The sequence below is a fragment of the Homo sapiens genome, chromosome 20 (genome assembly GCF_000001405.40).
Source record: "Homo sapiens chromosome 20, GRCh38.p14 Primary Assembly".
NCBI classification, from domain to species: Eukaryota; Metazoa; Chordata; class Mammalia; order Primates; family Hominidae; genus Homo; species Homo sapiens.
The window spans coordinates 33,282,720-33,310,242 of record NC_000020.11 but is presented as its reverse complement, the minus strand read 5'-3'; the positions used below and the strand labels follow the sequence as shown (position 1 = coordinate 33,310,242).

Here is a 27,523-nt window from a genome sequence, read left to right as displayed (position 1 = left end):
GAAGCATTAAGAGGCCAGCCAGAGCTCCAAGCCTAGTTCATCTGCCCCCAGATCCACATTGTTCAGAGAGTCCTCTGTCCACCACACTGCCAAGATAAACAAAACATATGTCCCCCACCCTAAAAGCCATCCCACTGAAGATGGTCTTGAGGCTGACATGAAGGCAGGTGGGAAGAGCTGGCTTTCTGATTCCTGAAGCACAGGGAGGTGGTCAAGACTGTGGACATCATCCACATGTGGCCCAGACATCACCCAGATTGGCTCAGATGTGCCTGAACATGACCCAGGTGTGGCTCAGCCATCCAGTCCCCAAGCCTGCCAGGGGCAAAATGACTCCTGTGCCGGGACAAAGAGACTCCAGACGGCAGGCATCACAGGCAAGTGTTTATTGATTGCAGAGAGGGATGGTCTATAGAGCTCACACCCATACTCCCAGCTGGGACCCAGCCTTCCCTGATGGCTGCCATCCAAGTCTTCACTGGGAGACAGGAGAGCTGGGTTTCCACAAGGAGGCTGGAGTAAGCACAAGGGCATCCTGGAATTGGAGGGGAAAAGTCAGAAAACAGGTTTCTTTAACCTTTTGCCTTGTGGTTTATGCTGGTTTTGTCCTCCATAAGGTGACTGCTGGCACCGGGGGACCATGACCCTGAACCCACAAATACAGAATTCTTAGAAGGGTCGGGGTGGAGGGTCTGTGTGTGAACATTAATGCCACACCAGGTCCTGATGTCATCTCCATTTTGCAGATGGGGACACTGAGACTTGAAGATGGCAAAAGCCCCTTTCCAAAGTCACGCACTCAGTAGGTGGCAGAAGTGGGATTTGCACTTAGCACCCGCCTTGATCACCCCCTGCTTTGGGCCCCTCCTCTGCATGAGCTAATGACAGTAAGGTGTCCATCTCAGTTAGCAGGCATTTACTAAACACCTACTGTGTGCAGCCACTGATCACAACAGAGAACAAAGCAGACAGAAACCCCTGCCTTCTTGAAGTTTTGGCTCCACTCTAGAGGGGGAGAGATGCCCCAGAGCCTGGCACACAGTGACTGTGAGCTGTTCTTCTTAAGGGTAGTATTTGGGAGCGAGGGTGACACTGCCATAGATCCTCTCCCCAGCAGATGCCACGGAGAGTCATTTGCTCACCAAGCATTTATTGAACACCTACTGTGTGCCAGGCCATGCTGAGCACCGGGGACAGAGGCATGGACAAGATGGACATGATCCTGGCCTTGAGCTGAGACCATCTGGCCACATGGTGTGTGTGTGTGTGTGTATGTGTATGTGCATGTGTAGTGTGTGTATGTGTGTATATGTGTATGTGTGCGTCTCTGTGTATGTGTGTGTATGTATGTGTGTATGTGTGTGGTGTGTGTGTAGTGTGTATGTGTGTGGTGTGTGTATTATGTGTGTGTGTATGTGTGTGTGTAGTGTGTATGTGTGTGGTGTGTGTATTATGTGTGTGTGTGTAGTGTGTATGTGTGTGGTGTGTATGTGTGCAATATGTATGTGTGTGTGTATGTATATGTATAGGTGTATAAAGGTGTGTGTGTGTATGTATGTGTATAAAGGTGTATGTGTTTGTATGTGCGTGTGTATGTATGTGTATAGGTGTATAAAGGTGTGTGTGTGTATGTATGTGTATAAAGGTGTATGTGTTTGTATGTGCGTGTGTATGTATGTGTATAGGTGTATAAAGGTGTGTGTGTGTATGTATGTGTATAAAGGTGTATGTGTTTGTATGTGCGTGTGTATGTATGTGTATAGGTGTATAAAGGTGTGCGTGTGTGTGTGTATATGTGTGTGTGCATGCATGCATCTCAGGCCTATGAGGTTACCTGCCTTGGATGTTGCCTCAGATCCTGGGCCTCCTTCCTCATCTTTCCTGGAACACCAACAATCCCTGCCTCAGGGCCTTTGCACTTGACATCTGATATGGTTTAGATCTGTGTCCCCGCCCAAATCTCATGTAGAACCCAATGTTGGAGGTGGGGTCTAAGCTGATTGGATCATGGGGCTGGTTTCTTGTGAATGGTTTAGCGCCATCCTCTTGGTGCTGTTCTCGTGATGGTGAGTGTGCTCTTGTGAGATCTGGTTGTTTAAAAGTGTGTAGCACCTCCCACCCCTTGCTCCTGCTTGGGCCATGTGATGTGCAGTCTTCCCCTTTGCCTTCCGCTATGATTGGAAGTTTCCTGAAGCCTCCCCAGAAGCTGAGCAGATGCCAGCATCGTGTTTCCTGTACAGCCTGCAGAACCACAAGCCAATTAAACCTCTTTTCTTCATGAATTACCCAGTCTCAGGTATTTATTTTCTTTCCTTTTTTTTTTGGGGGGGGGATGGATTTCACTCTTGTTGCCCAGGCTGGAGTGCAATGGCGTGATCTCAGGTCACTGCAACCTCCGCCTCCTGGGTTCAAGCAATTCTTCTGCCTCAGCCTTCCGAGTAGCTGGGATTACAGGTACCCGCCATCACGCCCAGCTAATTTTTGTATTTTTAGTAGAGACTGGGTTTTGCCATGTCGGCCAGGCTGGTCTCGAACTCTTGACCTCAGGTGATCTGCCCACCTTGGCCTCCCAAAGTGCTGGGATTATAGGCACAAGCCACTGAGCCCAGCCTCAGGTATTTCTTTATAGCAGTGTGAGAACGGCCTAATACGCTGTCCCTCTGACGGGACACTTCTCCCAGCTACCCACAGGGCTCACCCCTCACCTCCTCAGGCATTGGCTCAAATGTTACCTCCTCAGAGAGGCCCTCCCTGGCCACCCCATCTGAAACAGCACCCCCTTCCCTGACATCACTCTCTCCTCCTGAGCCTGCTTTATTTTTCTTCTCAGCCTTCCTCCACTCAGCCTGATGTTACATCTTTAGGGCTTGTGTATCTGCCTCTTCTGCTAAAAGGTAGGCTTGAAAAAGATGGGAGTGTTTTCCATTTGTTCATTTCGGTGGCCTCAAGCACTCAGAAGCATGGCTTGCCTATAGAAGACCCTCGAAAAATATTTAGTGAATTACTGAATGAATGAATGAATGAATGAATGACAAGGGGGTGGAAAAAGTGTACTGACCCCAGGCTAGGAGGGTTCCATCCTCAGCACAGCCAACCTTCTCACTTGCAGATGAGGAGGTGAGGCCCTGAGAGGGGAAGGGACTTGCCCAGGGTCACCTGTAGGCTGGGGTTGGAGTGCAGGCCCCACCTCCCAGCCAGGGCTCTCAGTGGCTGTGCCCTCCCTGGGGCAGGATGTTTAGGGCCACACCCACTCACCTTGGTCAGTGAGGACTCAGCTGCCTCGAATCCCAAGGCCTTCACCAATGACACTGGGACCCCAGATCTTAATTTGCCTGAAATAACAAATGTGGTCAGAAACTGATGGGCCTGGGGTGAGACTGGGCAGCCAGGGGCAGGCTCAGGGTTCCTGAAGGGGAGCCCCGGCCTGGCAGGCCTGATCAGACAGCCCCCTCTGCCTCTGCTCGCCTGTTCTCTGGCCCCAGCATTGACCCAGCCTCGTCTACCCTCCCTTTGCCTCTGGCACTGGCTTCTGGCCCCTCACAAAATGCAGTCCTCACATTCTCTTACGCTCTTGCTCAAGAACCATCAGGGGCTCCCATTATCCCCAGCAGAGGTTTCTATACTTTGAGATTTTTCCAGTCTAATAAAATAAAGAAATTAAAAAGGTGGAACTGTATAGGTTACAAACCCTTCCCACCCCTCATTCAACCTGGGGCTGAATTAGAGTGTTGGGCACTGACTGTGCCAGGCACCTCCTGATTTGTGCCTCTGAAGAAGGTACTTCTACGTCCCCATTTTACAGATGGAGAAACTGAGGCTCAGAAGGATTGTGCAGCTTGACCAAGGCCAGGCACTAGCAAGAGGGGGAACAGGGTCTGCTGAGGCGCCTCCAGTTGTCTCTTACACCTCTGTCATTGCTCTCATTGTCTGCTTATGCCTCTGTCTCCTTCCAGCCCTGCAAGTCTGGCCCACTGCTTGGTTCATCTTTACGAGCCCAGCCTCTGGCACTAGCAAAGGAATTGGGCTGAGAAGGTTCTTGGGAGGAGGCAGATTTTGAAGTAGGCTCTGAGGGATGGCTGGGAGATGAATGAAAGGGGCCCCATTCATGGAGATGAGGGCAGGGGAAGTAAAGCCAAGCCCTGGGGAGAGAGGGGGCACAGATGGCAGAGGTATGCACCATTCTGGTTCGGCAGCAGGATGGAGTGGATGATCTCAGTGATGATGTTTTTCAGAACATCAGGCTGTGAGAGAGAGAAGGGGCACTGTCACCCTGGTTGAGCATCTGAAGTTCCCCCCCATCATTCTTCGTGGGTGTGGCTCCTCCCCATGGGTGAGGTGGCTGGTGGAGATGTAGGAATTCCAGGTCCCCTGCTGATCAGAGCTGTGGGGGCTCCCAGGGACCAGATGGGCTGGGTTGGGGCATGAACTCAGCCGCCCCTGGGGCCTGGTAGATGGGGGGATTGGGGTGCATTGGAGGATGCCCCATCCTCAGGGGCCCCACCACTCTGTTGCAGCTGAATTTGCCCTGAGGGAATTTTGCCCTGCATTGCCTGAACTTCTGACTTCTGGAGGGAAGCCAGAAGTCCTGATTTGCATGTGGAACTCTCCGTGTTTTAAAATATTAGTCACCGGGCATGGTGGCTCATGCCTGTAATCCCAGCACTTTGGGAGGCCAAGGCGGGCAGATCATGAGGTCAGGAGATCGAGACCATCTTGGCTAACATGGTGAAACCCTGTCTCTACTAAAAGTACAAAAAATTAGCCGGGCGTGGTGGTGGGCGCCTGTAGTCCCAGCTACTCAGGAGGCTGAGGCAGGAGAATTGCTTGAACCCGGGAGATGGAGGTTGCAGTGAGCCAAGATCACACCACTGCTCTCCAGCCTGGGCGACAGAGCGAGACTCCATCTCAAAAAAAAAAAAAAAAAAAGTCAAAAATAGTGAAAAACAAATCATAAAAACCAGAGAAAACACGCCAGACTGAGGTATTGGGGTTCGGTCTGAATCCCAGCAGGAAAGGGCTGTCTAGGGGCACTGAGGCGCGTCTACGTGTGCAGAATGAGATTGTGAGTCAAGGGCACTTGTGTTCTAATTCAGGATCAAAACTTCACTGAAAGAAAGTGTGTATCTGTGAGTGTATTTGTGTGTGCGTGTGTGTGTTCTCAGCTGTGTCTGACACGTGGTGGCTTCTCTGTAAACACTCGAGGGAAGTTGGACTTTGGTGGAGACCGGCCAGCCCCCCATGGTGCTTCTGTGGGGACCTTGTTTGAAGCAAATCCTGGGCAATATCTGTTTTGAGAGTGGACCATTCCAGGCCACCCCCTGTGCCCTCAGGCACCACCTGTTAACACTTACTTGGAACCAGCCAATCCCAGAGTTCATCAGCTGGATCCGATCAGAGCTGCAATGGAAGATGCCTGTGAGAGCGGCCCCTGAAGTCCCACTCATTCACCATCCACTCATTCAACAGCGATTTATTGAGCACCTATTATGTGCCAGGCACAGTGCGGGCTCCAGTGAACCACATGAAGCCCTTGCGTCGTGGAGCTTGCATTCTAATGGCAGGGGTGGGGTGGGGGGCATAGAGGGGGCACAGAAAACAAATAGCAGTCCAGTGAGCAGAAAAATCAACCTCAGGAGTCAGGGCTGTGGTGGACAAGGAGGCCCAAGCTCCTTCAAAGGGCGCCCCAATTCCTGGCTCGACAGTTTGTTGCTATGTAGGATTGTGGGCACAGGGCAGCCAGATAGTCTGATTTGATATGTGCACAACTCATTTATATTAAACAGCCCAGCCCTATGTGGGCTGATCAAAAGAGCCCTGGGCCTGACTTGTCCCCAGAGGCTCCAGCTGGCAGCCCCTGCACTCACTCTGGGGCCACAGGAAAGTGGCGGGGAGGGAGAACAGGCAGGGTGCAGGAGGCAGCTGGAGCCCTGCACTTCTGTGCCGGGTGACTGTCACTGCCACGGCCTGGGAGGTGTCCAGAGTGGGCTGGCCGCGGCTAGGGTTTGCCTGTGCCGTGGCTGCTGCAAGGCCTACTTCATTTTCCTCCCCATTCCCTCACATGCAGTCCTTGTCAGCAGGAGCATCCGGAAGGACCTCCCTGCCTACCCTGGAGCCGCCTTCACCTGACAGCCACAAAGTCGGTGTTTAAAGAAACCCATGGTTACCAGGCGGGACTCATTTCCATCAGCAGAATCTTCATGATGATTTGTGTGTTTACCTGATGTTATTCAAGTTGAGTATAAGTTGGTCACCTTTGGTGTAAAACTGAGCTTCCGAGCTGGCTTCCTGCAACAAGAGAAGCCCAGGCCCCATTGTTCTCAAGAGGATCCGAGTGTGGAATTAGGGGTTATGCAGGGAGGCTCTGGGGTCTGAATCTCAGTTCCTGGCTCTGGGACCTTGGCAAAGGGTTTGACCTCTCTGGGCCTCACCTGCCTCATCTGTTAAATGAGATAGTACTTGCCTCCACTCCCCATTTAACAGATGACAGTCTAGGCTTGCTGTGGGGAATGATAATGATGACGATGACGACGACGAAAGCAGCCACTATTCATAGAGCCCTCACTCCCTTACCCTAGTGTGTAGGTGGCCCAGCTCAGGAAGTTTTCATATTCCATTTTTCTGGACACACTGATTGGCTCAAGAATGGGCAACTGACTCAGGCTCATTCAGTGAGAGTCAGCCCTGAGATGTTTGCTGGAACTATTGGAAAGATAGGTTCTTCCTGCGGTGATTGCCAAGCTGATAGGATATGAGCCTAATGCAGCCTGGGGCACTACCATGAGGGAATAGCTTGCCTGAGGATGAAGGCAGCACAGAGGAAAACAAGGCTGCTAGGTGGGAGAGAGGAGAATGAAGAGGATATTGTTTGAGCACCTGGGTCCAGCTATTCCCGAAGTCAATAGCATCTAGACTTTTTAGTTATAGGAGCTAATACAATTCCTTTTGTGCATATGAGTTGAGTTTCTGTCCAGAGATTCCTGACTAAGAAAGTCACAGGGTTAGAATTGGACCCACAAAGCTCCTGGCTCTTGGTTCAGAGCTCCCTGTCCCCTGTCCCTGCTAAGTGATGAGAGTGGTGGAAATGTTTAACAAAGCAAGAGGGCGAACAGGAAAAGTAGACAGAAGGGTCCCCCTGGTTGCTGCCAATATCGCAGACAACTGAACTCACGATGCCCAGGGTGAACAAAGGGCGGAGGGCTTCACTGGAGGGAAACACTTCCAGCACGATCAGTTGGGCCACCTTGGCATGGCCTTGGTCTATAAAAAACTCGGGAGTGTCCTGAGTTAGGATCTTCACGATCTGGGTAGATCCCAGCTTATCTGCAGCCTGGAAGGAGATCAGACCCACATGTGGCCTCCCAAGTGCCCACCATGGCCCACAGGCTCTGTGTGTGGCCTGGCCCCTGCCTGCCTTCCTGGGCTCCCTGCTCCCTCACGTGTTCCAGCCACCCTGTCCTTCTTGCAGATCCTTGAATGTTGTGTTGTTCTCCCTACCTGGCAGCCTTTGGTCTCCTGTTCCCTCTGTCTGGAATGCCCTTCCCTTCAGGGAGGCCTCCCTGACGTCCCAGACTGTATCAGGGGCCCAGAGTGTTCTCATGGCCCCTAGAACCTGTCCTGTGTTACTGCAGCTGTAATGGAAATACTATCCATGTGATGATTTGCTTCAGGTCAAACTGGCCTGCTAGACTGAAATCTCTGTGCGGACAGGGATGCGGTTTGAGTGTCCCAGTGCTGGAATGAAACACTAGTCCCACTAGATTCTCCTCCCCAGAGGCCTGTGTCCAGACCACAGCAAACACCCCTCAAGCTGCAGATGGCAAACAGACCAACCTTTTCATTGATCAGCCCGATGCTTGACTTCAGCCGATGGGCACTCTCAGGAAGCTGAGGGTGAGAGGAGCCAGAGAAGGTCAGTTGGAGGGCACAGGGAGGCACATCTCCTGCACCCCACTGCTGGGAGGAAGGTTTCCCAGGACCCCAGAAAAGCTGGGTGGGCCCAGTGACCCAAGCCATGTGTCTGTCATTGGTGGAAAAACAGCCCCTAGGTCAGCTTCTATGGGGCATGGGGTCCTGCTGGCCTGGACTTTTACTGTGGGCTGGTGATGGTTGTGGGTCTGGGGGCAGCTTCCTGATCTCAGAGGACATAGAGAGGTGATTTCATTTTTACTGCAATCATGAATGGGCTAGTTGGTGACCACTCCCTATTTTCTCGCCATCCCAGTCCCCTGAGAGCTTGGTTATTGGTTGTCTGTCAGCTGCCCTGAAGTTCTGCCATCCTCCCATAACGTTGGACCAACCCTTTCCCCCTCTGGACCTCAATTTCCCCGTCAGTCACCCGGGAGGAGGTGGCACAACATAGTTGACTGGTGGTGGTTATCGGCTGTGCCCTGTTAATAAGGATTCCAAGGTTGTGTCAGCATCCAGACTCAGTAGAAAGGAGAGCCTTGATCGATTAGTGATGTCTGCCATGAGTGTCATAGTGGTGAGCAGTGGCACAGTCGCCATCCCTGGACTACTCACTATCTGAGATGTATTTATCACCCCTGGACTACTGCATATCTAAGATGCCTTTTGATTTCACGAGACTGTTATTTGGTAGAGGAAACATTTGCATCAGATTCCAGAGGGTAGAACCATGACTGGGGCTGGATGTTACCGGGAGGATTTTAGGTTTAGAGCTATGTCAGAGGCAGGGTCTATTAGAGGAGGGAGTGAGATCTCCATTAAACTGAGCCTGATGGAGGATTCCTGCTTAGGGGCACCCTGTGTTCAGGAAATTCCTATGATGTGGCCTGGGCGGCCCTATTCTCTGCCTTGTGCTGAGGTTTACCACAGAGTCCAACAGGACCATGAATTCTTCTGGAGAGAGCACAGCAGCCACTGCAGCTTTCACCACGTCCTGACTCACGATGAGGCTGAACGGGATGTTGTCCAGGGTGGGCATTGTCAGGGAAGCTGCAGAGTTATTGAACCACTTGGTCACCTTTCCCTGTGAGTCCAACAACTTGGCCTGAGGAGACAGAGCAGGGAGTCAGCTAAGAATTTTAACTCTGCAGCTTACCCAATAGCAACCTAGAAGGAAATGACACCATTCAGCCTGTTTCCTTTTTGTGCATTTGTTGCCAGGAAGCTTAGCCTGGAGCTCAGGTGTGTGGCAACATCTACTCCATCTTTGCCCCTCGGATAATCTCTGACTTTTATTTTTTGTACCAGATATCTTCGTTTTTTTTCCCATGCTTCAACTTCTCAGACACCTCAAACCCTTTGGATGGAGGGAAAATTAAAAACTACAACAAAATGGAAGAAACGATTTGATGCTGCAGTTTTCCAAAGGATCCATAGAAACTAGTCCAGGGGCCAGGCGTGTTGGCTCATGCTTGTAATCTTAGCACTTTGGGAGGCCGAAGTGGGAGGATCATTTGAGCCCAGGAGTTTGAGACCAGCCTGGGCAACATGGCGGAACCCCATCTTTACAAAAAATACAGAAAATTAGCCAGGCGTGGTGGCGAGTGCCTGCAGTCCCAGCTACTCAGGAGGTTGAGGTGAGAGGATCGCTTGAGCCCAGGAGGTCAAGGCTGCAGTGAGCTGTGATGGCACCACTGCACTCCAGCCTGGGTGACAGAGTGAGACTCAGTCTCAAAAAAACAAAACAAAAGAAACCTAGTCTGGGATTCATGCTACCAGGATGGTCTGGCCCTTTGGGGCGTCCAGCCACAGCATGGCTGTGCAGCTCCACATTGGACAGGGAGCTGACAGTTACTGGGCACTTCTGGTCTGCCAGGCATGGTGTGGTCTCATTTCATCCTCTCCTCAGTGGCCATTATTACTGACATTTTGCAGACAAGGAAACTGAGGCTCAGGGAGGTAAAGGAACTTGCCCAAAGTCACATAGCCAGGGAATCATAGAGCTAGGAGAGAAACTTAGGTCTGTGTTTCTTGATCCTTGGCTTTTGTTTCAAGGTTGTCATAGGTTTGGGGATTGGCAGGGACTTGCCTGAGAGAAAGGCTGAGGGCCCAGTGTCCCCACTCGGGCCCCCCCATGTCACTCTGGGTGACAGTGAGACTCAGTCTCAAAAAAACAAAACAAAACAAACTTGCATGGGACATATTCAGCCTGCAGTGATTTTTCTAGATCAGCCCGTGTCCTAATGGTGACCAGGATTTTCTCTCCTAACACAGGCCCATGCTATCTGACTCCTGGTGGTCAGAGAAGGGCAGCAATGTCCCCACTTCACCCTCAAGGTCCTGGGACACTCACCCCCAGGTAGAGCTGAATGGTGTCACCCTTGATGGCAGGATACAGAAGGTCAAACTCCAGACGGTCAATGCTGAGGGAAATGGGCACTGCTCAAGGACAAGAAGAAAGTTCTGTGAGGGTGGAGGGCAGTATTGGAGGGGGAAGTTGGGGGGCTGCTTCCAGGTGGAGCTGTACTGTTGCATGGGGGGGCAGGTAGGGAGGAGCAGGTAATAATGATGTTGATAATAATGATGCAAACAGTGATGACAGTGACATTTATCGAGCATCCACTAAGTGCCAGGCCTCTGCATGTCAGCTGGTTCATCTGCATGATAACGTTAGGAAGTAGGTCTTATTATTACCCCCTTTTACAGATGGTGAAACCAAGTCTGAGGAAAGGGAAATGACCTGTTCAAAGCCATACTATGAGAGCATGGGAACCCAGTCGGTTTTATGCCAAAGTCCCGGTTTGGAACGGAACTGAACTATTGTATGTAACACTCCACCGCCCCTACCAGACTGAAAGCCGCGTCCCCCATGCAGGTGGTTCTGGGTCTGGACACCCTATGAGCACCTGGATCTCAAGGAAGCTTAGGCTGGAAGCCAGAGGCCTGGTAACATCTACTCTGAAATCCAAACTGGCTCCTCTGCTCCCCCCAAAGATCTCGTGTTCGCGTCAGAATTCCCCACTTGGCCGCCAGGTGGCGGTGGTGTGTCACCTGCCCCGGTGTATGGCCGAGGATGGGGAGTGCTGGAGGGCCAGGGACCGGCCGCCTACCGCTCCAGGGAGACCTCCGGGCCCGTCCTCGGGGCAGCGGAGGAGCCAGCTGGACTTCGGTTTGAGCCCCAGTGACCTTGGCTGGTCTCTTCTCGCGTCTGAATCTGTTTCCTCGTCTTAAAATGAGGGTATAGTGCCCGCCAGGGCAGCACATGTACTAAAATCGGAAGGACATAGAGACGATGAGCATGACTCCTGTAAAAATTACTTTAAAAAAAGAAAAAAGGTCCGTCTCCAAAAAAAAAAAAAAAGTATATTAAAGTCAATAAGGTCCCCGAAAATGGCTATAACAACAACAAAAAAATGTGATTTACAAAGAGAAATCTACAGACTTGTCAACAAAATGTAATGTGTGAACTCTGGATCCTACTCTGAATACTGACCAAATATCTGACGATTGGAAGAACTCTTTGGGAATTAAAAAAAAAAAAAAGAAAAAAGGAAAGAAACGGCGGTAGAATAGTAATTCCTGCTTCATGTATACAACTGGCACCTAGTAACGGCTCAATCCGAATGACACTCGCTCAGAACTCAAGTCTTCCTCTATCACCAACTGCCTCTGTGAACTTGGACAGTGACTTCATTGCTCGGAGCCTCTTTCATCACAGTGAAGGGGGGTCATGACTGCCACCTCATGGAGTTGTCTGAGGAGTCAGTGAGATGTGCCTATACAAAACACCCAGCGGGAGGGCGTGGCCCATGGCAGATGCCCTGTGGCGCTCAGTGCATGCTGCTCTCCCTTCTCCTCTCTGGTCGCCCTTGGAATGAGCCTCTTCTGATCCCAAAGTGCAGTTGGTAGACTTTTCTTCTTCTCCGCCAGTTTCCACTCTGGGGGCCTGAGCATGGCAGAGTTCTGATGTGGGGGCAGGAGCCTGTGCCCTCCCGTATCTGCTATGCTGGGGGAGGGAGAAATGACTTCCTTCCGTCTTTGCCCTTCGAATCATCTCTGATTTTTATTTTTTAAACCAGATATCTCAGTTTTTAACCCATGCTTTAATTTCTCAGATACCTCAAACCCTTTGGATGGAGGGAAAATTTGAAACTGCAACGAGATGGATAGAACTATTTGATGCTGCAGTTTTCTAAAGTATCCATAAAAACTAGTCCGGGGGCTGCGTGTGATGGCTCATGCTTGTAATCTTAGCATCTTCTGTCTGTCCATCCATCCATCCATCCATCTATCCATCCATCCATTTAGCATGCATTTGTAAGTGCTTCTCTGTGCCAAGAGGGACACCTGCTATGTGCCCAGAACTTTCCTGTAGACTTTTATTCCTCACTAACAATCCTATGTTGTAGGGATGGTTAAGCCCCATTTTATGGATGAGGAAACCGAGGATGAGGAGGTAAATTAGCTTTCCCAAAGTCATGGAGCAAGTCAGGGGCAGAGCTGGGATTTGAACTTGGGGCATCCACTGACCTGACAACTGCACAAATAGTAAGAGCTCATGAAGTCCTAGTCGTGGCGAATTTCTGTCTGCGCGTCTGGGGCAGGGATCAACTGATGCTTGTCTCACCTGCTTCTGGGCCTGAGTTGCAGCTCAGGCCTGACTTGGGGAGGCCTTCCCTTGGTGGAGTCAGGGTCTGGAGGCCAGCTCCGTAGTAAAGGAAAAAGTGGGAGAGAGAGCAGAGCACCTACCCTTCACCAGCTGCAGGAGGTCTGCATACATGCCATTGAAGGAAGCCTCGATCACGGGACACAGCTGCAACAGCATAAGCAAGGGGCTCCATCAGGGAGGGGCCAGAATGCAGCCCCACAGCAGCCCCGGGCTGTGCCCAGCCCACCTGGCCTGTGTCCTACTGCTGTGCCCATGGCCAGCCAGGTTCCATCCATGGGTTGAGGATTCATTCGTGTGTTGAACCCAGCCTGCAGGGCCACCTGGGACCTTTTGCAGTGGTTTGTCCCTTTCCCTGTGCCCAGGGTGTGCTTGGCCTGCCAGCAGCCCTCCCTCTCTGACTCCTTGTCTTGCTCACAGGTGTCTATGTTTTCCATGAGAGTGAAATGGAGGCTGGGCGCAATGGCTCATGCCTGTAATCCCAGCACTTTGGGAAGCCAAGGTGGGTGGATCGCTTGAGGCCAGGAGTTTGAGACCAGCCTGGCCAGCATGGTGAAACCTCATCTCTACTAAAGATACAAAAAGCCAGGCATGGTGGTGCACTCCTGTAATCCAAGCTACTTGGTTGGCTGAAGCACAAGGATTGCTTGAACCTGGGAGGTGGAGGTTGCAGTGAGCTGGAATCGTGCTACTGCACTCCAGCCTGGGTGACAGAGCAAGACTCTACTTTAAAAGAAAAAACAAGAGTTAAATGGAGAATTTGTTTATTCATACAGCAAGTTGCTACTGAGTTCTTTTCACATGTCAGACTCTGGAACAGAGGCCAGCAAGGCAGACCCAACCAGACTCCTGGGCAATCTCTTTGTGCCCTTTGTGGCTTTCTAGCCCAACACATCCCTTTGCTCACTGGGCACTTCTCTTCCTAAAATTGCCAGCAGTCCTCAACAGGGGGAGATTTTGTCCCCAAGGAGACATTTGGAAATTTCTAGAGACATTTTTAGTTGTCACAACTTGGAGGGGATGACAACTAGTGGGTAGAGGCCAGGGATGCAGCTAAACATCCTACTGTGCATAGGACAGCATCCAGACAAAGAATTATCCAGCCCAAAATGTCAGTACCACCAAGGCTGAGAAACTCTGACCTAACCTAACCCTGACCTGAGCTGTTCTGCTTAGGGAGAAGGTCAAACATTTGACTCACTTTTCAGGGCAGTGCTCCAAGATTATTGAGGACATTTTTGTCTTGTTGACCACCCCTTAATACTCTTGAGGAATGACAATGCCTTTGAGAAATGTTAACTCCTATGAATAACCGTTCCCTGCTCCTGGCTGCATTGCCAATCTAGAGCCCAGAGAGGATGGAAGACTTTCAGCTCAGAGACTCCCAGCAGGCACTGCCAGGGGAGCCTGTTTCTCACCGGAAAGTGTCCCGGGGAACCTCTGCATTTTATCCCACAATTCCCCATCCTTCATTTCTATCAGCAGGTCTCAATCCTGGCTACACAGTAGAGTCCTCTGGGATACTAGGACCCACCCAGACCAGTTACTTCTGAATCTGGGGTAGGGCCTAGCCATTAGTATTTTTTAAAGGTTTCTCAGGTTCTGATGGCTCTGATGTGCAACGAGGGTTGAGACCCATGGATTTACACTGAAAAAGATTTCAACATTTTCCCTCCCTCCCTCCCTCCCTCCCTTCCTTCCTTTCTTCCCTCCCTCCCTCTCTCTCTTTTTCCGTCCTTCCTTCCTTCCCTTTCCCTTCCCCTTCCTTCCTTCCTTCTTTCCTTCCTTCCCTTCCCAATCCCCTTCCTTCCTTCTTTCCTTCCTTCCCTTCCCCTTCCCCTTCCTTCCTTCCTTCTTTCCTTCCTTCCCTTCCCCTTCCTTCCTTCCTTCTTTCCTTCCTTTCTTCTCTCTCTCTTTCTCTCTCTCTCTCCTTCCTTCCTTCCCTCTCTCTCTTTTTCCTTCCTTGCTTCCTTTTCTCCCTTTTTTTCTCTCTTTCTTTCTTTCTTTCTCTCTTTCTTTCTTTCTTCTTCTCTCTTTCTTTCTTCTTTCGAGTCTCACTCTGTCACCCAGGCTGGAGTGCAGTGGTGCAATCTCGGCTCACTGCAACCTCCACCTCCCAGGTTCAAGCAATTCTCCTGCCTCATCCTCTCTGATTCTCCTGCCTCATCCTCCCGAGTAACTGGGATTACAGGCGCCCACCACCATGTCTGGCTAATTTTTGTATTTTTAGTAGAGATGGGATTTCACCATGTTGGCCAGGCTGGTCTCAAGCTCCTGATCTCAGGGGATCCTCCTGCCTTGGCCTCCCAAAGTGCTGGGATTATAGGAGTGAGCCGCCACGACCAGCCTAGCTAGATTTTTTTCCATGCATCTTATGGAATACTCACAATTATATAAAGCAAGTCATTCCATCATCCCCATTTTATTTATTTATTTATTTTTAATTTTTTTTTTTTTGAGATAGAGTTTCTCTCTGTCGCCCAGGCTGGAGTGCAGTGGCGTTATCTCAGCTCACTGCAACCTCCGCCTCTTGGGTTCAAGTGATTCTTCTGCCTCAGCCTCCCAAGTAGTTAGGATTACAGGTGTGCGCCACTGCGCCCAGCTAATTTTTGTATTTTTAGTAGAGACGGGGTTTCGTCATGTTGGCCAGCCTGGTCTCAAGCTCCTGATCTCAGGGGATCCTCCTGCCTTGGCCTCCCGAAGTGCTGGGATTACAGATGTGGGCCACTGCGCCTGGCCTCAACATTTTCTAAATGAGCTCCTACCAGACGCTCACCTCTTAAACGTGCTATGCCTTTTCCCTTCATGCCAAATAAAATATTTCTATGACCATCATATCAAATCCAGTGAATGTAGTGGATTTGCTGATGATAATGGGATGCCGGCTTTCACACATTGTTCTTTCTACTTAGCTTTTCACCATTAAAGACAGATACTATGCAAGGAGCATTGTATAATTCCAAGTTTTTGTCATCTTTTCTACTGGAAAATATATTTTTAACTATTAAAGTGTGATGCCAGATAAAATATGATTTTGCTGGAGGCTGGGAAGAAAATCTACAGCTGGGTCCTACTTTATGAAATTCCCACCTTGAAACAGATAAATAAAATTATTCAAAGAAACAAAATTTTCTTTCTTACATAAGAAAATTCCAATGTTATGAAGTTTTTCACTTTTGGATTCCCTTTAAAAAACTCCCTGGATACGTACCTTTGCTAAAAGGTCGGAGTCTCAACATTCTACCTATAAGAAGCCATTGTCTTGAACTTTGAGATCACACAATTCATTATATTCATTGTTCATTATATTCATTATATCACACAATTCATTAATTCATTATATTGGTTCCCTCCCTTCTCATCTCTCTCTGTCTCTCCCCATTCTCTTCCAAAAAAGTACTGGAGAAAGGTAGCTTGAATTGGGCTGAATCAGTATTGCTTCTGAAATTAACCTTTTAAGATCTTATTTGAGCTTTATTTAGTTTTTGATTATTCACTTATTTTTCCCTGGCCTCTTTAATATGTAGATATTTCGACTATTAAAATAATGGATCTTCCTTTGACTATACATGCTACTCTTAAGCTTTACTAGTGCAGAAGCAGAAGTTGAAAATCATAACTCCAGCTTATTAGAGAAACAAACGTAATAGTATATTGTACAGTTGATGTATATTTCACAAAATGGAGATTAAATGTTTTACTGTATTTTTCTTGAAGGTAAGGACATGGAAGCCAACTTGGAGAAAAATAAAAATCTCCATTGTTTTAAAGTACTCTTAATAAGAATCACATTGTTTATATAAAGCAGTGTTATTTATTTATTTAGTTTTTGAGACAGAGTCTTGCCGTCATGCCTAGGCTGGAGTGCAGTGGCACAACTGTGACTCACTGCAGCCTCAACATCCTAGACTCAAGCGATCCTTCTGCCTCAGCCACCTGAGTAGCTGGGACCATAGGGGCACACCATCATGCCCAGCTATTCTAATTTTTTATTTTTCTGTAGAGATGGGTTTCTCTGTGTTTTCCAGGCAAGTCGCAAATCCTGGGCTCAAGTGATCCTCCCGCCTCGACCTGCCAAAGTGCTGAGATTACAGGTGTGAGCCACTGGCCCTGGCCTAAAATACTGTTTTAAATATTGCTACTGTCATTTTAAAGTACTCTTAATAAAATCACATTATTTAAAAAAGGATTTGCTGGAATGTTTTCGTAAATTATTAAACCCAATGTACCTATTTAATAATTACAAGTATTGTATAATGACTTTGAAACATAGATCTGATTTAAAGGCTGACACCAAGAGCAGCCTCTTAAAAATACTAGTGCATGTGGATGGAGGTGGGAAGGCAATCTGCAAAAGATCAAAGCGCTCCTGGGTGAAAGTAAAAGGATTATGGATTTTTTTTCCCCAAATTTTTTCATTTATTACATCATCTTTTCAAAGAAAAAAGTCGCCAGGCACAGTGGCTCATGCCTATAATCCCAGCACTTTGGGAGGCTGAGGCAGGCGGATCACCTGAGGTCAGGGGTTTGAGACCAGCCTGGCCAACATGGCGAAAACCTTGTCTCTACTAAAAATATAAAAACTAGCCATGCCTGGTGGTGCTCATCTGTCATCCCAGCCACTTGGGAGGCTGAGGCATGAGAATTGCTTGAACCCGGGAGGCGGAGGTTGCAGTGAGCTGAGATTGCGCCACTGCACTCCCGCCTAGGCGACAGAGCAAGACTCTGTCTCAAAACAAACAAACAAAAACAAAAATCAAAGAAAAAAGTCTTATTCCAAGAAATATTAGCTATTTGACAAGGTGTTTTGACCCTAGATCGGGTGGCCCATTGTTACGAACACATCTTGGAATTTACAGTGGAAATCACTGGTTAATGTGGATGAATTCAATTTACAAAGTTTTAGTATACCTGTGACAAATAGGGGCAACTAAAATGAGAGTCACCTGTGTTTACTGACGCAGAAAAAAAATCCAACAGGACCTGGTGGGTGGTGCAGCCCTGAATACCACAGCCAGATTGATGTGTGACAGTGCCGTGCTAGAGCCAGCTTGTACTAGCTTTTGAGAACCAATTGTTAAATTTCCACAAATTTCTGAGCTGGGTGCTAAGCCCAGACATTGTTACAAATTAGACATATAAACTTACAATTAAATAAATTATATTAAAACAAATTTAATAAAAATTTAAAACGCATTGCTTCCTAATTAGTTTGCTGTATTTTACTACTATCTATTACTCCTGAGATCATGTTTATGTATCTGTTTAGTGGAAATATACAATCGTGTGCTATTGTATATCTTTTCCCAACTCTGTTCAGTGACATCACACTGGTCGCCTAAAATTGGCCCTGAAGGGAGTATTTCCACCAGGGAAATCCGCAAAAGCTACAAATCAGGTTTGCCTCCCTTCAACAACCCCTCCAGAGACAATTGCTAAAAATTTATCAGCACGTCACTGTTCACGGGCTCCTGGCTGACTTTTAGCAGTCCCATGACCTTGCCTGTCTGCCTGGGTCAATGGCCCACCCCACTCCATGACTCTTTGCTATCCAGCCCCAGATAATTCTTTCAGCAAAACCCACCCAAGGAGACTCCAGTCACTTAGCACCAACTTGCAGTTCCACCCAAGCCCCACAGGGGGCGCAATGCCCACAGGCCAGAGAGGCCCTGATTCCACTCACCTGGTTTTTCACTAGATTGGGCAGGGATGGCACTAGGAGGTTCATGACCTGCTTAGCTAAGGCGTTCACCAGGAAGGAGAGCCTTTCAGGGAAGAGAGCACGAGAGACATTAGGAAGGGTCAGAGATGATCACCCCTTCCTCTATTTTACAGAGGGGGAGGCTGAGTCTAAGGGAGGAAGGAACCTGCCCAAGGTCACAGGACGTGTTAGAGACGGGGCTGGGAGTAGCCCCTGAGCCAGGTGTAGGCAGTGGCAAAGAGTTATCAGAAAGCAGCGGCTGGGTGTTGTCATTGGAACTTTATGCTGGGCATTGGGATGATGGGAGCTGGCATTTCTCCCTGTCCTCCTGCTAAGAAGGGAAGGGGGGGCGCCATGTTTTTTGGCACCACCATGCGCGTGCACTGTTCTGAGTGCTTGATGGCTGTTGTCTGATCAGTTTTCTCACCACTGCCTGGAAGGTGTCATTACCTGCACTTTACGGGTGAGGAAAGTGAGACACAGGGTGGCCACTTGGCCATCATCACCCGGAGAGCAAATGAAGAGAATGTGTTGGCCTGACCCAAAGCCTATGTTTTTGCCCCTGGCTCCACCTACACCTGCCCTGGTGTTTGGAGGAGTTTCTAGGCCTCCCCCTTCAAAGATTTGCCCCACCTCCCGGTGTCATGCCTGAAACCCACCATGGTTGCTTCTGACCTTGATGTCCTGAACTTCCCTTGGCATCACAGATTCCCTGGAAGGAGCCCCAGATCAGGAATCAGGAGGGGATAAGTCCCTTTCTTTCTCTAGGCCTCAGCGTTCTCCATTTGTAAAATGGGGGAAGTCCACTGCCTGGCGTTCCTTCCAGGCAGGATGGGAGCCCGGCTGGTGGCCAGCGACACTCACTTATGCAGCAGTTGGATGCGCAGGCTCCCATGGCTGGTGGCACAGTCACTGAGGACCAGGCGGGTGGGGCCACTTGCACTGGTGTCCATGCGGATGGTGGCTTGGGCCTCAGTCGTCATGTGGAACTCCACGATGGTCTTGACCAGGGGCCTAGCGGGTGGAGGCACCTGACCATGTGAGCACCAGGCAAGCTCGGGCTGGAGCAACCCTGCCGTCCGTCTCTGTCTTCCAGCCCTCACCTCCTTCCTCAGTCTCCTTTGCTGGTTTCTCCTCATCTTCACCCAACTTCACCCCAGCATGTCCCAGGCTCAGTTTTCAGACTCCTCTTTGGTTGAAACGTCTTTCGTCTGCTGACAGCTTCCAAACTTACCCCCAGCCCCCTACTCCGATGTCTCACGGGCTTCTCAAGTTTAGCGCATGCAACACTGGACTGGCTCTTCCCCAGACCTGCTCCTCTCATGGCCTTGCCTGTCTTGGTTACTGACCACTCCATCCTGCCAGTGGTGCAGGCAGAACTCTTGGAGTCATCGTTGACTTCTCTCTCTTTCCCCCTGAATACACATGCATATTCAGTTCCCCGGGATATCCTGGTGTCCCCACCTACCTCCAAAACATATCCAGAATCCAATCAACTTCTCAGCACCTCCCTGCCCCAAACCCTGGTCTAAGCCATCATTATCTCCTCCTGAATTGTTGCAGTAGCTTTGGGATAGCCTTCCTGTCTCCACTCTTACCCCCAGAAAGTCTTTTTTCCCCACAGCAGCCAGGAGTCTTTAAAAATGTGAAAGCACAGCATATCCCTCCTCTGCTCAGAATCCTCCCTGGCTCCCGTCCTACTCAGCAAAAGCCAAGTCCTTATCTTCTCCCAAGAGGCCTTGTATGATCTGGCCTCGGCTGCCTGCTGGCCTCATCTCCTACCATGCCCCCTCTCTCTTTCCCCTGTCTTTGCCATTCTTTGAGCAAGGCAAGTACACTGCTGCCACAGGGCCTCTGCACTTGCTCTTCTCTCTGCTCGGAACTCTCTTTTCCAGACACCTGCATGGTGGGGGCGGGGGAGGGGGAACGAGCAGATGAGCCTGTCAAGCCTACTGTACTTGATGGAGGGGTCACTCACGTGTTGAATCCAGCCACCATGTCCAGGGGGATCTTGACTAGCAGCTCCTGGTCATTGGCCGAGGGCTTCACCTGCAGCTGGAGGATGTTAGCTGTGATGACCTTCAGCCTGGATGGGGTTTAGGAGAGATCAGAATCATGCCTCCGGCTCATTATTCCCAAATCCACTCCCTCTCTATCTTTTCCATCTCCCTGGGGTGCCTAGGCAGCAGCGGGACCCTGGCCCTGCCCACCGACTCCTCTCCAGATGGTCTTGCCTCCATCCCTCCCCTCCACTCCTGCTCACAATGCTATTATGGTGCCTTCTCTTCTAGGTGGTGACTCCCAGCTCCTTGAGCTGACTCATAAGACCCTCTGTGACCTGACCCTGCTGATCCCTTACTCCTTGCCTTGAGGTTTGAGCTCTAGCCATTCTGACCGACTGTCACTTCTCCATGCCTTTGCCCAGCCTGATTCTTCTACCTGGATGCCATTTGCTTCTTGTCTCCTGGTGAGCATTGAGTCATCGGCTCCACTGTCACCTCCAGTGAGAAGCATCACCTCATCCCTTCCCTGTGCCACCCCAGACAACCTTGCTCTGGGTTGTTTTTTTTTTTTTGTTTTTTTTTTTTTGAGACAGAATCTCACTCTTGTCACCCAGGCTGGAGTGCAATGGCACCATCTCAGCTCACTGCAACTTCCACTTCCCAGGTTCAAGCGATTCTCCTGCCTCAGCCTCCTGAGTAGCTGGGATTACAGGCTTCTGCCACCATGCCTGGCTAATTTTTATATTTTTAGTAGAGATGGGGTTTTGCCATGTTGGCCAGGCTGGTCTCGAACTCCTAACCTCAGGTGATCCACCCACCTTGGCCTCCCAAAGTGCTGGGATTACAGGCTTGAGCCACCGTCCCTGGCCTTGCTCTGGGGTTGTTGTATTAGGGTTCCTGTGTCACTGTCTTATGGTTCTTGTTAACTATTCTGGGAGCTTCTTGACGGAGGGGCTTTGTTTGATCCACTCTTTGTGATCTGACACAAGTCGATGCTTGCAGACTGGTTGACTGAGCATGCAGAGCGTGTCCCGGGCAAAGGTGTGGGAAGGGGCTAGCTCCTGGTGTGGTCCTGCTCCACTCACCAGATGATGTGCTTCAGGACGGTGTTCACCAGGCTGCCCAGCACAGGGATGCCTCCGGCTGGCTTTTCCCGCATGGCACTGAGCAGCGGCAGCTGCTGCAGGATGCTGGTGGCGTTGTGGTCCTTCAGCTCCTGTGTCAGCTCTGGAGGCAGACCCCAGGGATTAGGGCCCAGGAGGAGGGGCAAGAAGGAAGGCTTGGTGGGAGCTCCAGGCTGGGGAGGGGTATCACTCGAGGCTCCCTGAGGTAAGGCGAGGGTGTAGCCATCTCTACTGTGGTGGAGGTCAGGACCAGCCTGCCAGTCCCCACTGTGTAGATGTAGCCTTGAGGACAGTAGCCCAGATGGGTCGTTTTCACATCAGGAGCGAGGCTGGGACCATTCACACCCCTGAGCATTGCCAGCCTCTGTGGGGAGTGTCGGCCACTGCACTCAGCACCTGGACCTGCACTCATCCCCTGAGCCAGTTGCAAGCATTTCTAGGGCCAACAGGCAGGGAACCCTCAAAACTCTGTTTGGGGCTGTTTTGCTGCCAAAGCACACTTGTTAACAATTGTCTGGCATCCATATCCTATGGATGTGTTGTCCAAAAAGCCTCAAGTGCTGAGCAGAGGAAGAAGGAGCCAGGACAGAGGCATAAGTGTCAAGAGCCCTGGGTTCTTGTCCCAGCTGGCTTTTTGTGAGCAGCTAGAGCCCATCTGGCTCATGTGCAGAGCAGGTCAGAAGTGCTGGAGAGCTGATGCCCCAGGAGCAGACTTCAGCCAGTGATTGGTGAGAGTTGGTGTATCAATATCCCAGCTCCCTCACCCCTCAGGCAGGATGGCTCAGATGTGTGTCCCTCATTGTGTATCAGAGCTCCTGGGTTATAGCCTCTCAGCTGCAAATCCACCCACTTTGCCTGCTCTGTGGTAATGGAACTGGGCCCAGTGAATATTTCTTTTTTGCCATTTGGCACAGTGTTAAGCCCTTTCAGTGGAGACTCTGGAGGGGCATGGGGGGGATTCCCTTCATGGCTCTGGTGTGCTTCTCTTTCCAGGTTCCTATGGTGTCACTGCCCAGTGGCTTTTGCTGAGTGAGTTCTGCAGGCACCCTGGCTAGCTTCTAGGCAGTTCCCCAGAGACAGCTTCCCCGTGAGTTAACAGCAGCCCCCTTCCTCCAGGGGCAGCTTCCCAGAGAATTTTATTGGCCCCCTGGCAGGTAGTTCTCCACCCACTAGCGTCAGATTGCCAACTGTGGACCAGCTCTGGCCTGGGACAAGCCAGCAAACTTCTCCACCACACAGTGGGCTTCAACCACACCCTCTACAAAGAGGGCTGGGGAGGATTCTCTACCTCTGAACTTGCTCTGTCCTTGGCTACCCCCTCCATCCCTAGGTTATCCTTTAGAGCTCTGTCTGTTTTCCCTCTTAGCCAATTCCTCATTCTTCCAATCCCCTGGTAATACTTCTTTACATTAAACTTACCTGTTGGCATTTACTGTGTGGTTTCTGTCTCCTGAATGGCCCTAATAGATGCAGTTGCTAGGCAGGACTGAGCTTCAGTCGCCACAGTGGTAACTGGCTTGGACATGCACCCCTCATGGGATGCCTTTCCTTCCCTGCCTTGCCTCCCCACACTCCTGTAGGTGTTTCTGGGGTCACCTTCAAAACCAACCACTTGTACACAACTCCTTATAGGAGAGCCTAAAGCATGGTTGTTCATCTCTAAGCTCCTTCTGGCTGAAATTCCACATGCTTGAGCTTCACAGTGTGGATCCAGGCCACCTCTGCCTCCCTCCAACCTCTCAGAGCCCTCTGCTTCCCGTCCTTACTTGGGAATCCATCCGCTGGCTACAGAGCCTGTTGGTCCCACAGGACCTGCCCCTGCCCCTCTGGCCATGACCCAGGCCCCTAGTCCCCCTGAATGCAGAGGTCTGGTCCTCTAAGTGCTCAAGTGGCCTCCAGAGCTGACAGGTGAGTCCCCTCTAAGGGGATGAGACTTTAGAGTAGTCGTTCTCCACTGAGATGATTTTGTCCCCTAAGAGATATTTGTCAATGTCTGGAGACCTTTTTGGTTGTCACAGTTGGGTTAGGGATGCTGTTAAACATCCTAAAGTGCCCAGGACACCCCCCATAATAAATAGTTGTTTGGTCCACAACATCAGAAGTGCTGAGGTTGAAACCATGGTCATAGCATTCATAAAGCTCTAGTCAATTCCAACCACCCAGTGAGGAAGGCCCTCTTATTTGTGTCCCAAGGTGGAAGCTGAGGCTCAGGGACTGGCCCAGTGCCCCAGAGCTGGAAAGTGATACACTGTGCCTGGGACCCAGGCTGCCACACTTGCAGTCAAGGGTCTCTGCTCTGGGGAGGAGGAGCACACTGGGTCTAACTAAGACGGGGTGCTCTGACGATGGGATTTCAGGTGAAGGCAGTGGGAGAGGCAGCTGCATCACTGCATGCAGTGGCTGCATGCCCCTTCTGCAGGCTGTGGAAACTCAGGGTCTTTGGAACTGTGGAATTTAAGAAGGGGTTCTTGGAATCGTGGACTCTTGAGATCACAGACTCTCCAGACCTTTACAACCTCCCACTCATGTTCACCCACGTTCTGGGATCTCAGCCATGCACATCCCCCGTGATGAGGAACTCTCTCCCTCCTTTGGGAAGCTGCTCCACCTACCCCCTTGTCTTATGGCAGCCAGCTCCGGAGGGACAAAACTTACTTTCTTTGATGACTTTTGGGCCGAGGATGAGAACTGCAGTGGGACTGAGGGTGGCTTGGATCAAGGTGGCTGCCAGCAAACCACAGAGAAGGGTGAAGGTCCACGGGCCGGCCATCTTCCCAGGTGTCAGAGGGCAGCAAGTGCAGGATGCCAGACCTGGGGTGAGCACAGAGGGACCTGAGGCAGAGGGGCCAAGGGCAGGCCCATGATGCCCGGTGACCTGGGGCACGGTGTCCAGGAGAGGCTGTTGAGTGCAGTGTTTAACTGCCTGGGCTAGCTGTGTAGCCTTAGGCAATCAACGTAACCTCTTTGTGCCTCAGTTTTCTTATCAGACAAATGGGGATAATGACCCCAGCTTCCCAGAGTTGAGGGATTAAGTGAGTTAATATCTGGAAAGCATTTAGCACGGTGTCTTTCACATGGTAAGCACTTGGAATGTATTAGCTATTTTCTTTCTTTTTTTTTTTTTTTGAGACAGAGTCTCGCTCTGTCACCCAGGCTGGAGTGCAGTGGTGCCATCTCGGCTCACTGCAAGCTCCACCTCCTGAGTTCACACCATTCTCCTGCCTCAGCCTCCTGAGTAGTTGGGACTACAGACACCCACCACCGCGCCAGGCTAATTTTTTTTTTTGTATTTTTAGTAGAGACGGGGTTTCACCGTGTTAGCCAGGATGGTCTCGATCTCCTGACCTCGTGATCTGCCCACCTCGGCCTCCCAAAGTGCTGGGATTACAGGCGTGAGCCACCGCGCCCAGCCTGTATTAGCTATTTTCTTACAGAAAATCCAGCAACAATGCTCAGAACAAAGAACTTCTGCTTCCCGTGTCTCCCACCCCTCAGTCTGACACTTAAAACCCTCTATGGTTCACCGTCTGCTGACCTCACCTCCTGCTTTCTCTCCCCTTGTTCTAGCAAGTTCCAAGCAGTTGGAAGGTCTCAGAACATACTGTGTTCTCTCCTGTGTCCGTGCCTTTGCTCTTGCTCTTCCTTGCTTCCTGGAATGCTTTTCTCCTCCCATATCTCCCTGATGAACTCCTATTCATCCTTTAAAACCCTGCCAAGATTTGTCACTTTCCCTATAAAGCTTCCCCTGTCCTGCAGACAGGGAACCTGGACCACACTTGGAGAAATGTTGTCCTGGGGCCCAAGACATGAAGGTTGGAGGCAGGAAGGAAATGAGGAGCCAGGTAGGACTCAAAGTTGTGAAAAAGCTCTTTGCTTAATCTGCAATACTAAGGGGGCTGGGGAGGGACTGAATGGCTTCTTGGAGCCAGGAAAAGAAGGGCAGAGAGAGAGAGAGAGAAAGAGAGAGAGAGAAAGGGCCCTGTGGCTCATGCCAGGGAGAGGAGCTTGGGGGTATTCTGGCCCCTTGGCTGCTCTGTCCCCTCCCTCCACAGGGGTGTGGCATCAACATCTGTAGTCCAGTCCTGAGCTCTCCAGCTTGCACCCTGGCTCTGTCTGCCAGCCCCCCATGGAAGCTCCTGCCCCTGTGGACTGTCCTGCTTGGAGGGAGGGGAGACGCTGCAGAGATCTGAGCCCCTCGCTTGGTTCAGCATGTGGATTTCTTTTTGCCAAAGACAAATGTGGCATCCGGATGACATGTGTCTCCTGTGCCCTGGAGCAGTGTGAGCTCTTCTGAGACCCTTGCAATAATGATTCAGCCTCTGCTTCCCTGACCAAGCTGTGAGCTCTGGGAGGGAGGGCTGGGTCTGCCTGCTCCCTGCTGTGTCCCTGGCATCCAGTATAGTGGTTGGCATAGACCAGGTGCTTAATAAATGGCTGCTGAATAATTGCATAGCCTCTGGAAGCCCCGAAAGAATTGGAAATCTGAGCCTGCTAAGCTGAAAAGGTTAGTGTTAGGAGGCCTGAAGGTGGAGGGGAAAATATTATTGGCTTGGCAGCCAGATGAACCCTAGTTGGAGGCCTGCCTCTACCACTTGCTCTGTGATCTTTGACAAGTGACTTACCCTTTCTGAGCCTCCATTTACTCATCTATAAAATGGGGAATAATTATAGTACTTATGTCATAGGCTTTTTGGGAAGATTAAATGAGACAATCTATTTGTGGCCTGGCATGGCCAAGCGTTCAGTAGATGGTAGCTTCCACGATAATTATGACAGGTATTATTACTAATATTGGAGTCAGAAGGAGACACCTTGCAGCCAAAGCCAGAAGACAGAGCTGAACCCCGGCATCCAGGCACCCCTGTGGCCCCACTCCATATTTTCCTTGCAAATACCTTGACTCTGTCTGTCCTGCATTATCTGTACACACTGCTCAGTCCTCTTTGGATCAGAGAAACCCAGGGACCCACGAGGATGGTAGCATCCCTGTTTCCCTCCTGTGGAAAAGACTCTCCTCCCCCAGATCCAGGCACCACACACGCCCCTGTCATATGGCACCTCCTCTCCCAGCCTTTGCTTCTGCTAGTTCCCCTTCGTGGAATATCTTTCTCTCCTCCTTTGCCCAATCGCCTTCTACTCGGCTTTGCAACCAACACATCACCTCTTCCAGGATCCCTTCTTTGACTGTCCTCCACTCCCATGTCCCTGGGTCTTCCTTGGGCACCACATTGTCCTGCACTGGGAGTTCTTTGAGGGACAGAGTCTGCGTCTCATGCTTCTTTTGTCCCAGCACCACCGCAGCACAGCTGGGACAGAGCAACTGGTATGTGCAGAGTGGGTTTATGTCACTAGGAAGAGGTCAGGAAAACACTCAGCCAGCCCCATCCCTTCGTCACTGCCCTTTGGTCCTCTGGGCGAGGGAGCTGGGCATCTCTCTACACCTGGCCCTGACCCTCAGCGGATCCTGACTCACCGAGGGCCCTTCCCTGAGGGCGAGCCTCCCCTGTGCTCCTGACCTGACCCCAACAGGTATCTCTAGCTCAGAACCTTCCTGGCAACCTTGGCTTTCAGCCCCTTCCCTACTTTTACCTGGGCACGCTGGAGTCCTCGGCCCGCTCCTCTCCTCTCCCGGGCAGTGGGTCTGGAAGTCCAACCTTATATCCTGCACACCCCAGCACAGGCTTTGTCTTTAGGCAGAGGCCTCAGACCAGGCCGAGGTCTCCAAGGTAAATATTTGTGGCTTCTGCTGAACCACAGCCCCGCCCGGAGGCAGCCTTGGGACTCCAGCTTCCTGAGGTTTGGAGAAAGGAAGGTCCAGGCTGAGAGAAGCACAGTGCATATAGCAGAATAAGCACTCCATAAATGTGAGTGGCCGTTGCCATTAATATTATTATTGCTTATAATAGGATGAGCCTTTGTAGAGGGATTACAACAATTGTTTAATCCAGATAATCAATTTGGGAAAAGGAAGGAGTAGCCTTACCCACCCCTTATTCCTAAATACATCAAAGATACACATCTCCATCAATTAATTCACCCAGGAGAATAGATTTGAATCCTATTTTTGCCACTGCTTTGCTGTGTGCCCTTGGGCAAGGTACTTCACCTCTCTGGGCCCCAATGA

General features: G+C 50.5%; 1 protein-coding gene and 2 long non-coding RNA genes across 3 annotated transcripts, besides 3 other annotated features; 1 reads left to right on the top strand and 2 right to left on the bottom strand.

Annotated features, from left to right (window-relative positions):
• Positions 1–371: 371 nt before the first annotated feature.
• On the bottom strand, positions 372–27,029 carry BPIFB1 (BPI fold containing family B member 1). Its single transcript, NM_033197.3, has 16 exons — positions 26,989–27,029; positions 24,055–24,210; positions 21,361–21,502; positions 20,251–20,358; positions 19,137–19,286; positions 18,255–18,336; positions 12,655–12,718; positions 10,259–10,344; positions 8,831–9,010; positions 7,831–7,884; positions 7,169–7,327; positions 6,218–6,285; positions 5,352–5,397; positions 4,178–4,241; positions 3,256–3,332; positions 372–535 (listed from the first exon to the last, which is right to left on the bottom strand). Exons 2-16 carry the CDS (start codon positions 24,167–24,169, stop codon positions 476–478), a joined length of 1,455 nt encoding a protein of 484 aa, NP_149974.2. The 5' UTR covers positions 24,170–24,210; positions 26,989–27,029; the 3' UTR covers positions 372–475.
• On the bottom strand, positions 10,390–12,030 carry LOC105372594 (uncharacterized). Its single transcript, XR_936685.3, has 2 exons — positions 11,399–12,030; positions 10,390–11,172 (listed from the first exon to the last, which is right to left on the bottom strand). It is a non-coding gene; the product is annotated as an uncharacterized LOC105372594 (long non-coding RNA).
• LOC124904888 (uncharacterized) lies at positions 11,719–12,126 on the top strand. Its single transcript, XR_007067566.1, has 2 exons — positions 11,719–11,810; positions 12,021–12,126. It is a non-coding gene; the product is annotated as an uncharacterized LOC124904888 (long non-coding RNA).
• Positions 18,186–18,235: an enhancer, noted in NCBI's record as "active region_17727". NCBI's record gives its function as "activates an Ori minimal core promoter by ATAC-STARR-seq in GM12878 lymphoblastoid cells {active_cell/tissue: GM12878}" and the evidence as "EXISTENCE:reporter gene assay evidence [ECO:0000049][PMID:35858748]".
• Positions 18,702–19,662: an enhancer, noted in NCBI's record as "H3K27ac-H3K4me1 hESC enhancer chr20:31878387-31879347 (GRCh37/hg19 assembly coordinates)". NCBI's record gives its function as "activates a minimal SCP1, AML or CMV promoter by ChIP-STARR-seq in primed H9 embryonic stem cells {active_cell/tissue: H9 hESC(primed)}" and the evidence as "EXISTENCE:reporter gene assay evidence [ECO:0000049][PMID:30033119]".
• Positions 19,663–20,623: an enhancer, noted in NCBI's record as "H3K27ac-H3K4me1 hESC enhancer chr20:31877426-31878386 (GRCh37/hg19 assembly coordinates)". NCBI's record gives its function as "activates a minimal SCP1, AML or CMV promoter by ChIP-STARR-seq in primed H9 embryonic stem cells {active_cell/tissue: H9 hESC(primed)}" and the evidence as "EXISTENCE:reporter gene assay evidence [ECO:0000049][PMID:30033119]".
• Positions 27,030–27,523: the final 494 nt, after the last annotated feature.

Excerpts from the sequence above, each read along its gene's own strand:
- BPIFB1 (NM_033197.3), bottom strand. The coding sequence starts at position 24,169 with ATGGCCGGCCCGTGGACCTTCACCCTTCTCTGTGGTTTGCTGGCAGCC. Across the intron at positions 10,345-12,654 it reads CCTCCTGCAGCTGGTGAAGG|TGCCCATTTCCCTCAGCATT; the intron begins GTAGGTGCTCTG and ends GTCCTTGAGCAG. Across the intron at positions 536-3,255 it reads CTGAGTCCTCACTGACCAAG|GATGCCCTTGTGCTTACTCC; the intron begins GTGAGTGGGTGT and ends CTCCAATTCCAG.